Source organism: Homo sapiens, chromosome 18, assembly GCF_000001405.40.
Source record: "Homo sapiens chromosome 18, GRCh38.p14 Primary Assembly".
Taxonomy (NCBI): domain Eukaryota; kingdom Metazoa; phylum Chordata; class Mammalia; order Primates; family Hominidae; genus Homo; species Homo sapiens.
In genome coordinates, this window is record NC_000018.10 from 48007538 (window position 1) to 48023886 (window position 16349).

The window sequence follows — 16349 nt, forward strand, 5'->3', positions numbered from 1 at the left end:
AACACCTGGGTTCAGGCTGAGGTCCATGCTCAGCTTCGGGCCAGGGCACTGGAGCAGGAGTGGCACTGAGGGCCTGTCCTCACCAGGGTCTCCTTCCTTTGCCACCTTAGGCAGCTCTGGGATGTTTTATAGGGGAAAGTGGCATCTCCTCCCCTGCCCATGAGGAGGGTGGTGCTGAGTAAAGGTAGCCTCTGCGGGCAGGAGATGGCAGGGACCATGGGACCCAGCAGAGTGAGGGGTGCTGAGGGGTCTCAGAGCAGAGAGACTCCCTTGTTCTGACCCTCTCCAGCTGACTGCAGGTCCGCGAGCCTGGGGGCCCGGACGCTCCTCCATGTGCTTTTCTGCCCCACTACTAACTTCAGTCCACATCACAGCCTCCGAGAGTGGGGCTTCTGGGGCCATCCCCTCTGTGCTCTCCGCAAGCACCATTCTGCGGGACTTTGTAGAGTGACCCGAAGCTTCCGCTCCCTAGCCCTGTGCTCTTCCCCTCTCCAGTCCATCTCGGCCGGGAGTCGGGTCTCTGCCAGCCCAGCGCTCGGAATGGAGCTTTGTGGGGCTGGGGAAGCAACCTTTGCCAATGGGAAGGGGGTGTCACAGCGCCTCATTCCCTCCCAGCTTGCGCTCCTCGGAATAATCTCCAACAGCGTGCCTAGAAGCACAGCTGCTTTTGTTTCGGGCGTCGGTGCTTCCCAGAATCCCGGTGCCCGGACCCAGCCGCCGAACCGACCCCGCCCCGCCGCGGGCTTTGTTCCCTGCGCTGCGCACTGCGAGCGGCGGCCACGCGGGGGCGCTGGGCCGGGGGCGGGGGCCAGGGCTGGGGGTGGGGCGCGCCCCCGGGCCACCTCCCCCGCCCCTCCCGGCTCCTCCCCGCTCCTCCTCCCATGCCCCGGCCCCCGCCTCGCAGCTGGGCTCGGACTCAGGCTTAGCCGCAGTCTGTGAGCCTCCTCCCCGCACCTGGCCGGCCAGGCCAGCCCAGCCTACTTGTCTCGCTGCGCCCGGCTGCTGCCTCCGCTCCAGGGGTCGGCGCCGGGACCTCCTCCTCCGCCGCCGGCCCGCCCGCGTCTACACCGCACACCCGTGGCGCGCCCTCCAGGGGCGGTTTTTCTCCCGGGGTCCTAAGTCTCACTCTACCTGCTTCACGCTTAGTGGTCCTGTAGAAATACAGACGCGTCGTAGGCACTTAGTAAATGTCTGTTGAATGACTGTGTGTAAGCACTCGTCCGTTCTTTACCACACCTCATTTTTAAAGTTAATGGACGTTATTTTTTTCAAGCAATTTTAGATTCACAATAAAATTGAGCCAAAAGTACAAAAAGTTTCATTTCCCCCCTGTACCCACCCCCGAACAACCTCCCCCACTCTCGACCTCCAGACCAGGGCATGCATTGGTTGCCATTGTGAACCTACACTGCCACATCAGGGTCACCCAAAGTCCACAGTTTTCTTTAGGGTTCACCCTTGGTGCTGTACACTCCATGGGTATGACATGTGTAAGGCCATGTCATTCCGGTATCACACAGCATTTTCACTGCTCCAGAAATTCAACCCTCCGTCTTTCCAACTCCTGGCAACTCCTGCTCTTTTTACTGTCTCCATAGTTTTATGGAATCATGCTAATTTTCACAACCATCCAAGAGGTAGGAACTCTTCCCCTTTTGCCCTTGAAGACACTGAGGCTCAGGGATGTTGCCAGGGCCCTGTCAGCTTCCTGATAGGAAAGCCACTAAATTCCAATCGGCTACCAGTTTTCCTGCAACCCTGGCCTGGGATACTCTCCTGAACAATGAAGCCAGTAATGGCATGACCACAGCGCTGTCCCACCCTGGCCAGCAAACAGGCTCCCTCAGGGGACTCCACTCCTCTACCTGGACACTTCTGCAGGCGGGAAGTGGGTAAGGAGTGACAGGTGTGGACTGCCTTGCTTGGCTTCTGGGAGGAGCCATTTGTGCCTGCTGCCAGGCCTGCTGAAACATTACTAGGCTGGGCGGAAGTACAGATGGAAGCCCTGGTCGGTGGTCTGCCCCTTCCTTTCCCTAGCCCAGGCTCTGACTTCGCCGTAAGGATCTTGCAGAGCAGGCATGGACACCCAGCCTGCAGCCCAAGCTCCATCCCCACCCGAGAGCCAAACACCCCCCAGGCTAATCCTCAGGCCCGGTAGTGTGTACACTGGTGAGAGCAGACAGCTGCGGGAAGAGGACCTGCAGAGGCCCTAAAGTGGGCCCCTGACGGGAGGCAGAGCTCAGATAATAATTTTCGTCCATGTGGGCCCCAGGACCTTTGGGCAGGGCCCTGGGTACCTGAAGCATGATCCGAAAGGGAGGGCATGAGCTCCAGGTGGGCATGTCCCTTGACTTTGTGCTAGGGTTACCAGATTTAGTAAATTAAAACAGGAGTCCCCAACCCCTGGGCGTGGACCTATTCTGGTCCATGGCCTGTTAGGAAGTGGGCTGCATAGCAGGAGGTGAACAGCAGGTGGATGAGGATTACTATCTGAGCTCTGCCTCCTGTCAGATCATCAGGCATTAGAGTTTCATAGGAGCGAGAACCCTATTGTGAACTGTGCATGCGAGGGATCTAGGTTTCCTGCTCCTTATGAGGATCTAACTAATGCTTGATGATCTGAGGTGGAACAGTTTCATCCTGAAACCAAACCTGTGCCCTGTCTGTGGAAAAATTGTCTTCCGTGAAACTGGCCCATGGTGCCAAAAAAAGTTGGGGACCGCTGAATTAAAACACAGGACACCCATTTAAATTTGAATTTTAGATAATTGCATTAGTCTGTTTTCACATTGCTGATAAGACATACCCAAGACAGGGGAATTTCCAAAAGAAAGAGGTTTAATGGACTTACATCTCCACATGGCTGGGGAAGCCTCACAATCATGGCAGAAGGCAAGGAGGAGCAAGTTATGTCTTACATGGATGGCAGCAGACAACGAGACAGAGTTTGTACAGGGGAACTCTTCTTTTTAAAACCACCAGATCTGGTGACACTTATTGGCTCTCACAAGAACAGCACGCAAAATCCTGCCCCCATAATTCAATTACCTCCAGCCAGGCCCCTCCCACAACATGTGGGAATTCAAGATGAGATTTGGGTGGGGACACAGCCAAACCATATCAATAATCAACAAATAATATTTTAATAGTAGTATGTCCCAAATGTATACTTATACCCCCCAAATTATTTGTTTATCTGAAATTCAAATTTAATTGGGCATCCTGTATTTTATCTGCCAACCCTGCCTTGTGGACTCCTGACCCGTGGGGAGAGAGACAGCAGGAGGAGGACCCGAGTGGAGTCCTCAAAAGTATGGGGCTTGGGCAGGGGCCTCAGTCCTCTGTGCTGAGGCTGTCCTGGCTGCATGTTTCAATATCCTGAAATTGCAGCAAGGTTCTGGCTTCTAGGGGTCCTGGGAACAAGGTCCTTGTCAGGAGCTGGCTCCGCTCAGTAGGAGACCAGGGTGGTTTGACAATAAACTTTGCCATTGAAGCTTCTGGAATGCAGGTGTGTTGGGTGAAGGCTGGGGAGGCAACAGATAGTGTGAGGAGGTGGGGAGGTAGGATGGGGACAGGAAAGTAAGCTTGCAGCTGCTGCCTCCATCTTGGTCCTTCCAAGGTTAAAGAAGGTCAGGGGTATGGGGAGAGGTTTTGGGGAGAGATGGGGGGACAGGAGGGACACAGCGGCAAATCCCTGCACTGCCAGGGTGAAAGTGCACTGTGGTTGTGCAGCCTGCTTTCCTGGCTGAAATGTTCCTTTCACGTCACCATAGTTAGCATTGCAGACCAGGTCATGAAGGAAGCCAGGCAGGATCTGATGGAAGCCGGGCAGATGGCCTATTGAGGCACAGAGGGTAGGTTTCTTGCAGGTTTGGTGTTGGTGCCCATTGCCCCGAGCTTGGGCCCATGCAGATCAGTGGGGTCACTCAGGGCAGTGAGGGAAGCTCTCACTGGAAGGGGAAGAGCTGGCTCAGGGAGGAGGTGGTGGATGTGGTGGAAAGGCCAAGGTGAATGTTTGGGAATGACTTCTGGAAATCTTTTGTGGAGGACTCACTGAACTGCTTTAGAATTGGAGTCCCAGTCTATCCTAGTGGCTTTTAAAGGAGCTACCTGGAAGAGAGAAGCCACTGTCCTCAGGGCAATGTTCTGGGCAGGTGGGAGTTCTTGTACACACTCCCAGATGGGCCTGGACCACACCCTCCATGTATCTAAGCCTCAGCTTCTGCACCTGGTGAATGGAGATAATTTGGGGGGTTTATTCTGAGAATCAAATGAAATCATGCATAAAAGCAACTTGCAAGGGGAAAGTGTACTTAGAAAGTACAAGATAGCATTGATTGTTAACTCAGTGTGTATGGAGCTCTTCTTTGGGGCCAGACCCTGTGTCAGTCTGCAGGGAATTGGAATGATCCCATGGAGCCCAGGTCTGGTAGGGAAGACAGGCTTGTGACCAGGTCACATAGGTGTAGGCAGGGGGCCCCAAGGGGATCGGAGGAAGGGAGTTGTCCCTATTCCTTGGGAGGTCAGGAAGGGGTTACCCAGGAAGTGTTGCTGGATGGAGCCCTCAAATGTGGGGCGATGTCGGCAGATGGAGCAGAGTGGGAAGGGAATTTCAGTCTGGCAGGCAGGAGGGGAGGCCAGGGGCCAATAAGAGCCTGGGCGGGGGCTGCCAGGCAAGAGCAGATGTCTCACTGAAATGCTTTGGCCCCCAGGAGATTGAACTGTTTCCTGTAGGCAGGGAGGAAGCACGCAGGTGACAGCATCTGGGTGACAGTTTGAAAATATCACTCTGGTTTCCATTGAAGTCAAGGTTTACAGACGCAAGGTGGGGAAGAGGCTGGGAATCTAGAGGGGGAATGTTTCTGCTATGGTCCAGGTTAGCTAACAAGGGTGTGATTGGGGCAGGAGCATGGGTATGGAGAGAAGGAGACTTCCTATAATGTTAGAATTGGAATCTGCGGGGCTCAGTACCCACCTTACTAAACCCCTCTCAGGATCCTGGGCCCTCTGAGCCCCTTCCTCCCTGAGCTCATTCCTGACAGCCCTATTCTGTGGGAGTCTTCTCTCCTCTGAACACTGATAACCTCTGCTTCCCACACCACTGACTTTAGAGTCTAGTGGCATACTTTTGTTTATTTATTTTTAATTGTTTCCAAGTCCCAGTTGTTTTCTTGAATGTCACAGAAACGTTGGTGAAATTATTTTCTAGGAAAGAGCTAGCTTATTTACTTGTTTCTCTCCCTATCTTCCACCCTCTAGCCCTTTCCCTCCCTCCCTCCCTCCCTCCCTCCCTTCCTCCCTTCCTTCCTTCCCTCCTTCCTTCCCTCCTTCCCTCCTTCCTTCCCTCCTTCCTTCCCTCCTTCCTTCCTTCCCTCCTTCCTTCCTTCCTTCCATTCTTTCTTCCCCTCTTATACTTATCACCATTTATGCATCTATTTTGCCATTGCACTGTTTCCAGTTTTTGGCGATTATGAATAATGCTGCTTATAAATATTTCTATAATTGTATTTTGATGATCATATGGATATATTTCTCTTGGGCATATAGCTAGGAGTAGAATTGTGGGGTCACAAGGTTCACATATGTTTGACATCAGTTGGTACTGACAAACAGTTTTCCAAAGTGATTGTATTGATTTATGTTCTCGTCAACAGTCTGTGAAAGTTGCAATTGCTCCATACTGTTTTGAACACTTAGTATTGTCAGCTTTAAAATTTTTAGCTATTCTGGTGTTGGCGTAGTGTCATTTCATTGTGGTTTTCATTTGTGTTACTCTGATGACTGAAATAGTTGACCACTTTTTCCTGTTTATTGGCCATCTTGGTATTCTCTTTTGTGTGGTGCCTGTTCAAGACTCTCATTCAGTTTCCTAATGGGATTAGGAATGTTATTTTAACGTTCTGGATACAAGCCCTTTGTCTCTTTTGGGTGTAGTAAACATCTTCTGCTCCGTGGCCTTCTCTTTTACTTCTCTTTCTTCTCTTCTGCTCCATGACATCACTTTCTTAATGATGTCTTTTGATCAACAGAAGTTTCTCATTTTAATACAGTTCAGTTAATCTATCTTTTCCTCCATGGTTGAAGCATTTACCGGAAAGTTTTAAAAACCTTTCCCTACACCAAGGCCATGAAAGTATTCTCTTGTAGGAGCTTTATTGTTTTGTCTTTCACATTTAAATCTACAATTCACTTGGAATTGGTTTTTATGTGTGGTGTGAGATAGGGTCAAGTTTCACATTTTTTTCACATGGGTATCCAATTTACCCAACTCCAGATACTGAAAAGACAATGTTTTTCCCACTCTGTTACGCATCTTTTATTATCAATCAACTGTACCTATATGTCTGTTTCTAGATTTTCTATTCTGTTCTCCTGGTCTATTTGTCTATCTGTGCACCAATAATACAATGACTTAACTATTGTAGCTTGGTAAATTTTGATATCTGATAGAAAAACTCCTCCTAAATTTGCCCATACTGTACCTTATCACACTGTAATACAATTCCCTGTTTACTGGTGTGAAAGATGAGCGTCAACATTTACTTGCCAAGACTTACTTAACAGATTTACTTACAAAACTTTACAGATTTTCTGTAACTGATCTTATTTTACTTTAAAGCCCTTCATGTCTACTGTAAGTCTATTGCTGTCTTTGGGTTTTTGTTGTTGTTGTTGTTATTCCATTTTCTTCATTAGTAGTTTGTTAATTATGCATTATTCAACTATTTTGATTGGTTTTCTTAGAGATAAAAGCATGCATCCACAAGTCTAATATAAATTGGTACTTTCACCATGCCCAGGATCTTAGAACACTTTAATTCCATTTATTCTTCTGTTTTTGTGTATCGTGGCATATTTTAATTTATATTTTAAAACACATTAAAAAGTGTTATTGCATTATTTCATATTGCCAACATTCATTTAGATTTACTTACATATATAATTTTTCTGGGTTTCTTTACTTTTTCCTGCATGTCTGTGATTCTATCTGGGATCATTTTCATCTCCCTTTAGCATTTCCTAATTTGGTTCTACTGGTGACAGATTATCTCTGATTTTTGGTGTCTACATGATGAATTAATCTCAGATTCATTTTTGAAAGATATTTTACTGAGTACAGAATTCTAAATTGGTTGTTATATTCTTACAGCATTGTGAAAATACTAGTCTGTTGACCTTTGGCTGCTTTATTTCTGTGGAGAAGTCAGCTGTCTGTCTTATGGTTGCTTCTTTTAAGACATGTCTTTTTTCTCTAGATGTTTTTAGGATTTGTCTTTTTGGTTTTCAGCAGTTTTGGTCTGATATGCCTAGGGGTGTGTGCGTGTGTGTGTGTGTGTGTGTGTGTGTGTATTCTTTTGGGGTACCCAGAGCTTCTTAATCTATAATTTGATTTCTTTAATTAGTTTTGGACAATTCCCAATGTTTATCCCTTAAAATTTACTTCTGTCCTATTCTCTTTCTCTTCTCCTTCTGGGACACCAGTTATATGTATAATACCTTTTCATCACATATTTTTTGTTTCTTCTGCTCTTTTCTTCATTTTCTATCCTTTTGATTCTGTCCTTCAGTTGGAAATTTTCTTCCATCTTCCAGTTCACTAATCCTGTCTTCAACTGAATGTAATTTGTTTATAAACACAGCCATCAAATTCTTAATTTCATATACTGTGGTTTTAGTTACAAATTTAACATTTAGTTTTTTTAATATACTTTCTGGTTTCTGCCAGAATTCTTTATCTTATTATTTAACTCCATGAATTTATCTATTATGGTTATTTTAAAATCTGTTTCCAGTAATTTTCAAATTTGGATATTCTGTGAACTTCTTTTCTTTTTTAAATTTTTATTATTTTTAAAACAAATTTTACTGTGTATATTTGAGGTTTGCAACATGATGTTATGGCATACATATAGATAGTAAAATGATTATAGTGAAGCAAATTAACTTATCTGCATCTCACATAGTTACTGTGAGTTCATTTATGTTATTTATTTTTTCTCTTGGCTTTTGTTTGGATCTTGTCTTTTGGCAAGGCTTATTGGTTTTGCTGGATGTCATATGAAAAATAGCAGAAATTAATTTGAAATTCTGAACAATGCTGTCTTCCTTCAGAGAGGATTTGCTTTTACTTCCTGCCAGCCTGAGGCTAAGAGCAATTCACCCTAATTCATTCAGGATTCAATATGACTTTAGTCATCATGAGTACTGGCCTATTTTCTCTTCACTCATACCACTAGGGTGTAGCTCTTTTGTATTTCAACCAAAAGCCTGGGTTTTTAAAATCAAGACTTATCTTTTTTTTTTTTTTTTTTCCCCAAGACAGAGTCTCGCTCTGTTGCCCAGGCTGGAGTGCAGTGGCACAATCTTGGCTCATTGCAATCTCTGCCTTCCAGGTTCAAGAGATTCTCCTGCCTCAGCCTCCCAAGTAGCTGAGACTGTAGGCATGCACTACCATGCCTGCCTAATTTTTGTATTTTTTAGTAGAGACGGGGTTTTACCATGTTGGTCAGGCTGGTCTTGAACTCCTGGCCTCAAGTGATCCACCCGCTTCAGCTTCCCAAAACGCTGGGATTACAGGCGTGAGCCACTGCGCCTGGCAGAGAGCTATCCTCTTAAATTGTCTCTAAACTTCGCTTGTATGTCCTGAACCTCGTGAGACTGTGAGATGCTCTGCTCAGTTTCTCAGTCTCTTGGCAAGTCAGCTAGGGTAATTTGGTCCCAAATTGCTGGCTCCCCATCAGTCAAGGGGAAAAGTGGTCCCACATTTCTGGCTCACCTTTCTTGGCTTACTTCTGGATTTTTCCCCACAAATTCTTGCTTCCTCAATTGCTTTCTGATGCCTTCAAGCAGTATTGTTTTTTTAAAATTATTTTTTTCTAGAATTTCTAAATGATATCAATGGAAAAGTTGGTCCAAGATATCCTAACTGGCAACTGATGGAAGTGGCATCTTCAGCTCCATTATATTTAAGTGATCCAAAATGGGTCAAAGGCTGGGGACATACGGTGGCAAATTTTCCATGAAATTCCACATAAGGAAAGATCCCTGATGAATTCTTAGACATCATGGATACTGAAAAACTGACTCAGTCATTTAAATCTTACTTTTTTGTAGCTGTTGAAGCATATATACCCACTTGGCAGGTTGACAGGTTGCTTTTGTTTCCCTTCACTTGTGAGTGACTGGATTACCTTGCCATTCCTTTTTTCTGTCCCTTGCCCTGCCACCACAACCATGCTTTTTGCTTGATCCTTCTCTCCTAGTCCTACTCCAGGTACATCTGAGGATGCTGCATCTCCCACCTTCCAGCTGCTACAAGGGCCAGTGTCAGAGCATCTTAGAGAGCCTCAGAATACTGTGGTGTGGGATTAAAAAATACTTGTAAGGGAGGCTTTCCAGTTACTAATGTGAGAAAGGTCTGTGTATTTTACATAAAGTAGTATGTGTGCTTTGTGAGCTTATGTTTTCTTGCTAGGAATTCTGTTTCTGGACTTGGCGGGAGAGTGGTCCTGAGAGGAGACACTGGGGTCACTCGCCAGGCTCACACATCCCAGACCTATTGTCCGCTTGTTGCCCAGCCACACTCCTCTGCATCACCATCTCCACAGCACCCTCAGGGCTTCTGGGAAGCTGCCTCACTTCATAAATCAAGGTACAACATTGTGTCTGGTCATGGAAATTTAATTTATCTTTAGGCAAAACTTGGAACCAGGCACATATATCTACTTAGGCCCCTCAAGTGTTCACTTCAAAGGCACTTTCCATCAGACTGCACTCTCACCCTCATTTCTCCTCTTTCCCACCTCTCCAGTAGGAAGTTGAGTGCGGAGAGGATGGTCACCCTAGAGAAAGCCAGTATTTGGACATTCCTAGCCAGATTCTATTCAGCATATGGACATGAACTGGACACGTCTACAGACAGATAATCTATCCAACATGTAGAATAAAGTGAAAAATGAAGTGGAAACTGAAAGAAAGCCCACAAACTTGTTCTGTATCTGCAAGTAAGGTAAAATCCATGAAAAAGAAAGCTTCTTACCCAGAGCACCGCAGATGCAACTCCAAGCCTCAGTGATAATGTTGCAGGTGTATGCGTGCGTGTCTGCATGCATGCATGTGTGCATGTGATAGAAAAGAATATTTAGCAAGCTCCCCCATACAGGAAAGACAAAAGTGGAAACAGACCTGTGTGCTCTTTGGTAATGTGGCTTGAATGGCCTTTCCAGTGGGTTATTTTGGTCCTGGAGTGCAGTCATTCTCAACAATGTTTACATCAAGCAACCTTGGATCCTGCCCATGCTGCCTATTGAGCAACTTCAATTCTGGAAAGAGATGAGGATGGCCTTTGATTGGGAAATTAGCTTCTTTCAAATGCGGGCAGAGGCATGGAATCTTGCAGTGTGGGAGTGGAAAGAAATCTTGGAGATCATCTTGTCCACCCCCTCATTTTCCAGATCATAAAGTGCAGGCTTGGAGAGTTGAGGTAACTTTCTCAGGGTTGCACAAAGGATCAGTGGCAGGGGAAGTCTTGGAAACCAGCCTCCTAATTTCTGGTAACCCTATCAGTCTATCCTTAGCAATGATAAAAAGGGATTGAAAATAATAGATGATTAAGGAAATTTTCAAAATCCCCAAATCATAATAAGAGGCTTTGAAATATGAAACTCTAAACCAATGGTTAGATCCTGTTATTGGCATTAGAAGCCGTAATCACGTTTCTTTCTCATACGAAAGGATGAGAGTAATGGGATGTGACCATTTTTCTCAGGTAGAGCACACCATGTACTCCAAACTGTATACTCTGTATACATCGAACAGTATACTCAAGCTGCGTCACTTTTGGGTTATCCTGCATTCATTCACACTTCTGTTTGTGAAGACACATCCATTAAGTGAGTACTAGTGTGAGGCAGAAGCTAAGAGGGTCAGGAACATCCTTTTCCAGTCTCTTGGCAGCTAAAGTTGGGGTACCTGTGTCTTGGCCCTGGCCATTAGGATGTTCCTATCTGGGACTTTGCATCTGGAGAGAGTAGTGCAGATGACACAATAGTCATGCTTCTAGTGCTGCTGGTGTTGGTGCCAGGGCAGCCCCCTAGCAAGGCTATTCTTGGGCCATCACCTTGACCCATTTTATTGATATTCTGCCTCTGTGTGTGTGTGTGTGTTTTTTTTTTTTTTTTTTTGAGATAGGGTCTTGCTCTGTTGCCCAGGCTGGAGTGCAGTGGCATGATCTCGGCTCACGGCTCACTGTACCTTCCACCTCCTGGGCTCAAGCAATCTTCCTACCTTAGCCTCCTAAGTGGCTGTGACTACAGGTGCATGCTAATTTTTAACTTTTTGGTAGAGATGGGGTCTCACTATATTGTCAGGCTGATCTTGAACTCTTGGGCTCCAGCAATCCTCCTGCTTCAGCCTCCCAAAGTGCTGGGATTACAGGCGTGAGTCACTGTGCCCAGCCTGTCCTGCCTCTTTCAGTCACTGCCTGCTTCCTGAGGCTGGCTCTCCAACTTCCTGTCAGTCTTTTGAGCTACAGTATCCTTTAAAGGAATCCCCTTTCTGCTTAAGAGTTGGTCTCTCCTCACTTGTATACAAGAGCCTTGGCCGATGCATTGGAAGAATGAACACCCTCTACAAGTCTTTGCATGTAGTGCTTTTGCTGGGCTCTCTTTGTTATGTATGTCTCACTATAAAGATTAGAGAGACGCTTGTCTTTGATGTCCAAATCAAATAAAGTTGGAGACTATAATTAAGTTTCCCCAGGACCTACAGCCTTGCCCCAGGGAAAGGCATTTTAAAGGTCAGTGCATCTCAATGTCCAGCAGGTTACCCGGTGGAGCCTGCAGAAACTTGTCTGTAGGGCACAAGTGTCTCTTCTGTCATAGGTCCCCATTCAAGGAGGGACCAATGTTGGGGCCCAGGACTAGTTATACAATTGATGAGACCCACCTTCAGGCAAGAGGATGTTTAGTGCAGCTCCCAGTGTCACAGGGAGGGGCTTGACCATCCTCCCCCATGTAATTGACATCAGGACCCAGGTTGGTTTATGGGGATTCCACAGGTGTTGTAGGAAATCAGCCTGAGGGGACAGTGTAGGGGTTGGGGTCCCACTGGGGAGGGAACAAACCAGTGTTTGGACACCTGCCTCTCAGATGGCCCTGTCCACCTGCAGGTGTGACCTTGTCCTTCTCCTGAATCCCTCCTCTCTGCTGGTCCCCAGAGCAGCCTGTGTGTACAAGGACGTGGTGCAGAGTGGAAAGAGACCTCACATCTGTCCCCACTGCACCTGCCTGAGCCTGCTCCAGGCCTGAGCTGCACAAAGGAGTGTAGAATGGGAATGTGGTGATGGGGGAGAGATGGAAGCTTTGATATTAGACTGGGCCGAGCTATTTAAGTAACTGAAAGTGAAGCTTTTCTTATACCTGCATGTGAGTGACCTGAAAAGGTATGGAATCCTCTAGAAGTGTAGAGAGTTGGAGAAGGGAGAACCAGCAGAGTGGGGTGAAGGGAAGTGGTGGGAAGATGAGGACACTTCTTGCCGGCCGCCTACAGAGGTCAGCTCCTTTAATCACATGAAGTCAAAATGCAAATGCAGCCTCCAGCCCACCCCTCCTCCATCCAGACTTCCACACATCACATCTTTCCTAAATAGAACTTACGGAACCTCCGGGTCCTGGTTCCCAGTGTCAGTCCTTCACCAACACTTGCAGGGCCTGAGCAAGAATACCAGAGGTCCACATATCACAGGGCTACATATTTAAACATACAAGCCAAGCTAACAAGCTGTTCATTAAACTGTGTTCTATCCTCCTACCTTGGCAAGCAGACCTTCAGAAAGACCTGGAAAGCCAGGTTCTAGTTCCAATCTTCAGGGTCTTCTGAATTCTGGGCCAGAAAGTCATCTTGGGGATAGGGGGCAGCACCAGTCTACAGCCCTTAGCCTGCAGCCATCATCTTCCCTCTCCACCCTTGGCTTCGTCCTGTACATCCCCAGCAAACAGCCACCCTTGTCTGTGCCTCAGCTTCGGGTTGAAGACTCCAGTAGCAGTCTGCCCTCAGGAGCAGGATCTGGGGTAGAGGCTCCTGCAGGTGCACTGTAAGCAGGCTCCCTCCTCCCCTCCATCCTGTCCTCCCTTCTACCCCAACTCCCCTCCTCCCCTCCCTCCTCTCCTCTCTTCAACCCGACTCCCCTCCTCCCCCTCGTCTCCTCCCTTCTAACCTGATTCCCCTCCTCCCCTCCCTCCTCTCCTCCCTTCTAACCTGACTCCGCTCCTCCCCGCTCCTCCCTTCTAACCTGACTCCCCTCCTACCCTCCCTCCTCTCCTCCCTTCTAACCTGACTCCCCTCCTCCCTTCTATCTCAACTCCCCTCCCCACTTCCTCCTGTCCTCCCTTCTACCCCAACTCCCCTCCTCTCCTGCCTCCTCTCCTCCTGTCTGGCCCGACTCCTATCCTCCCCTCGCTCCTCTTCTCCCTTCTAACCTGACTCCCTTCCTCCATTCCCTCCTCTCCTCCCTTCTAACCTGACTCCCCTCCCTCCTCTCCTCCCTTCTACTCCAACTCCCCTCCTCCCCTCCCTCCTCTCCTCCTTTCTAGCCTGACTCCCCTCCTTCCTCTCCTCCCTTCTACCCCTTCTCCTCCTCCTCTCCTCCTCTCCCTCCTCTACTCCCTTCTAACCTGACTCCCTTCCTCCCCTCCCTTCTCTTTCCTCCCCTCCCTCCCTTTCTTCTTTTTTCCATTTTAAGAACACAAGAAAAGCAAAGGAAAAGGGGAAGGAAAGATCAATAGGTATAATTACTTTAAATGTTATTGATGTTAAAAAGGAAAAGACACCCACACTTTCAGGCACCTACTGAGTGGCAGGAAGGGCCAGTGTTGCGCATGTCCCACCCAAACCCCACGGGGACTTTCCAGGTAGGTGTTGTCACCTCCTTTTTATGAGTGAAGAAGAGGCTAAGCCAGAACACTGAGTGACACTGGGACTCTTACCCTGACAGAAGCACTGGGTCAGTCTGCCAGCACCCCCCAGGGTGGAAGGCTAAACCTGAACTGAGACTGGGAGTGTGGGAGCCTCCCAAATACTTTCCAGCTGACAGGAGCTCTCGGTCTGGAGGAGGATGTCAAGTAGTGAACCCTTGTGTTCCCTGGATGTCCACAGTGGCACATTTTGCTATGTCCTTGCTACCCCCACAAAGGCCCCCCTGCTTGGGAGTCCCAGCCATTTGGAAATGAAAATGCACTTTTGCATTTCCGAGTGTGGCTCCTATGGGAAGGATGTTGAAATGGCAGAATAAAAAAAATTTTAATTACAAGACACACCCGACTCTGCAGTGCTGATTGAATTCAGGAACCCCATTTTGGGGAGGGAGGTTCAGCACAGAGCTGACTACTCAGCAACAGCAGGGAGGTATGGATTAAAGGCATCCTGGGCTCCGAATGTGACGAGAAAGCCTCTATGGCTGTACTTGCTGCTGAGGGAGAGAGGGGACCTAGACCACCCATGCTGATGAACCACGATGACCAGCGCTTACAGTTAGGAAGGCAGTGTTCCCTTGACTTGGGGTGGGTGACACCGTGAAGGAGTATTTACCAATATCTGTAAAGGGCTGAGGTATCAGGAGGAAGACCGCCGGAATGTGCTTTGTCTAAATAGACTTCTGTTCCTAGTGGGAACAGTGGGCCTCATTCTGGTCCTCCACCTCAAAGAGGGCAGGGCGGCACCGTGGTCCGGGGGTTAGTGGCTCTGGGTTCCAGTCCTGGCTCTGGGGTTAGTGGCTCTGGGTTCCAGTTCCGGCTCTGCTAGAGCTTGCCTGGTGGCCTTATCCTCACCATTTTGCCACTTGGAGCTTCAGGCCTCTCATCTGCAGAATACGGCATGGCCATATCACGTTTTGAGGCCCCCCAGCATTAATGAAACTCTTCTTCTGTTGGAGAATTGACATCATGAATCTTTCCTTCTCAGGCCAGCGGAGCCAGGCGCTTGCTTTCCCAGGCAGCTGCGATCAGGTGGGGGCATGGGTCTTGGGCTCTTCCAAACAGATGCGCCAGCATTAGACTTCACGCTGCGGAGAGCAGTGTGAGGGAGTACAGAGTGTGGCACCCATTTTCCCAGGAGACACTGGTGGAGAGGGGGGCCACAAGACAGAGTCCCCATGCCCAGGGCCTGAGCTGCAACGATCTGACACAGTGTGGCTTGGGTGGTTCTGGGCTTCCTTGTTTCCAGGCCGTGTGCTACCCCTAGTCCACTTGGCGACTTTGTGCAAATTAGACGATTAGGCACCCCTTCAAGATGCTTTACTGCCCTCTGCTGGAAAATTCTTTAGTACACAAATGTACCAATCTGTCTAGGGTGTGAATGGCAGCCTCTAAATGTAGTGGTGTTGTGTAGTATGCAACCTGGACAACTGATCTTGGTGGCTCTGCCGGCCTGACTCTCTTCTGGCTTTTGTGAAAATTCTGAAAGAGACTTAATTTCCTATAGTAAATGCCTTTTCTACTTAAGCTAGCTGAAGTGGCTTCTGGTGTTTGACGAATAACTCCGACTGATACGAATAGGGATGCTGATACATGCCTCCTGGGGCTGAAACCAGATGACTCATGGAAGCAAGGGTCTCCAAGAAGGCATAAGGCACCTATGTTACTCAGAGGGTTTGTACTTCATTTATTAATTGTGAGAGGAACATGGGAAAATGATCTAATTCACGCTATCTTCCTTCCTTATTCTGGAAACCTATTTGTTTATTCTTTTGTTTTTGTTGTCAGGGTCAGCGTTCATGGTTAAAGACGGGAGCGCAAGGATGAAAATGTGAGTGTGCATTATACATATTCCAGCAGGGTGACCTGTGGGGAAAATGGCTTTGCCGGGTCTTGCTCATGCACTGTCGTGTCTCCTATTGTTACAAGGAGAGATGACATCAGCCTATGCACCATTTGTCCAGTGACTGAGTGTGTGTGTGTGAGTGTGTGTGTGTCTGGCTGCAGATAATGTGGCCAGGTTCCAGGTTTTCCAGGGCAAATTTGAGATGTTTTGTTTTTATATGTCAGGCCCTTTCTGGACCCATACGTTTTGGTTTAGGCCACGTGGGCACTGCCACTCAAGGTCATAGCAGCCCCTGCCTAGGGTGTGCCAAGGAGGAAAAAGGAGCAGGATCTCCCCAGGGAATCCTCCTTCCATCAATTTATGGAAATTCCTGTCTGACTCAGTCCTCAGCCTTCAAACCTGAAAGGAGCGAAAGGTCCCACATTCCCCATCCCTTTCTGAGCCAGGAAGTGGGATGAAGGAGGGATGGGCGGGAGCTGCGAGGCCAGTAACTGTTCAAGGGTGCAGTTTCAAGGCTCCTCTGCCCAGAGAAA

At 47.9% G+C, this 16349-nt stretch overlaps 3 annotated features.

The window, feature by feature from the left end:
• Positions 105 to 1018: an enhancer, noted in NCBI's record as "H3K27ac-H3K4me1 hESC enhancer chr18:45534013-45534926 (GRCh37/hg19 assembly coordinates)". NCBI's record gives its function as "activates a minimal SCP1, AML or CMV promoter by ChIP-STARR-seq in naive and primed H9 embryonic stem cells {active_cell/tissue: H9 hESC(naive and primed)}" and the evidence as "EXISTENCE:reporter gene assay evidence [ECO:0000049][PMID:30033119]".
• Positions 694 to 803: a silencer, noted in NCBI's record as "silent region_9429". NCBI's record gives its function as "represses an Ori minimal core promoter by ATAC-STARR-seq in GM12878 lymphoblastoid cells {active_cell/tissue: GM12878}" and the evidence as "EXISTENCE:reporter gene assay evidence [ECO:0000049][PMID:35858748]".
• Positions 814 to 863: a silencer, noted in NCBI's record as "silent region_9430". NCBI's record gives its function as "represses an Ori minimal core promoter by ATAC-STARR-seq in GM12878 lymphoblastoid cells {active_cell/tissue: GM12878}" and the evidence as "EXISTENCE:reporter gene assay evidence [ECO:0000049][PMID:35858748]".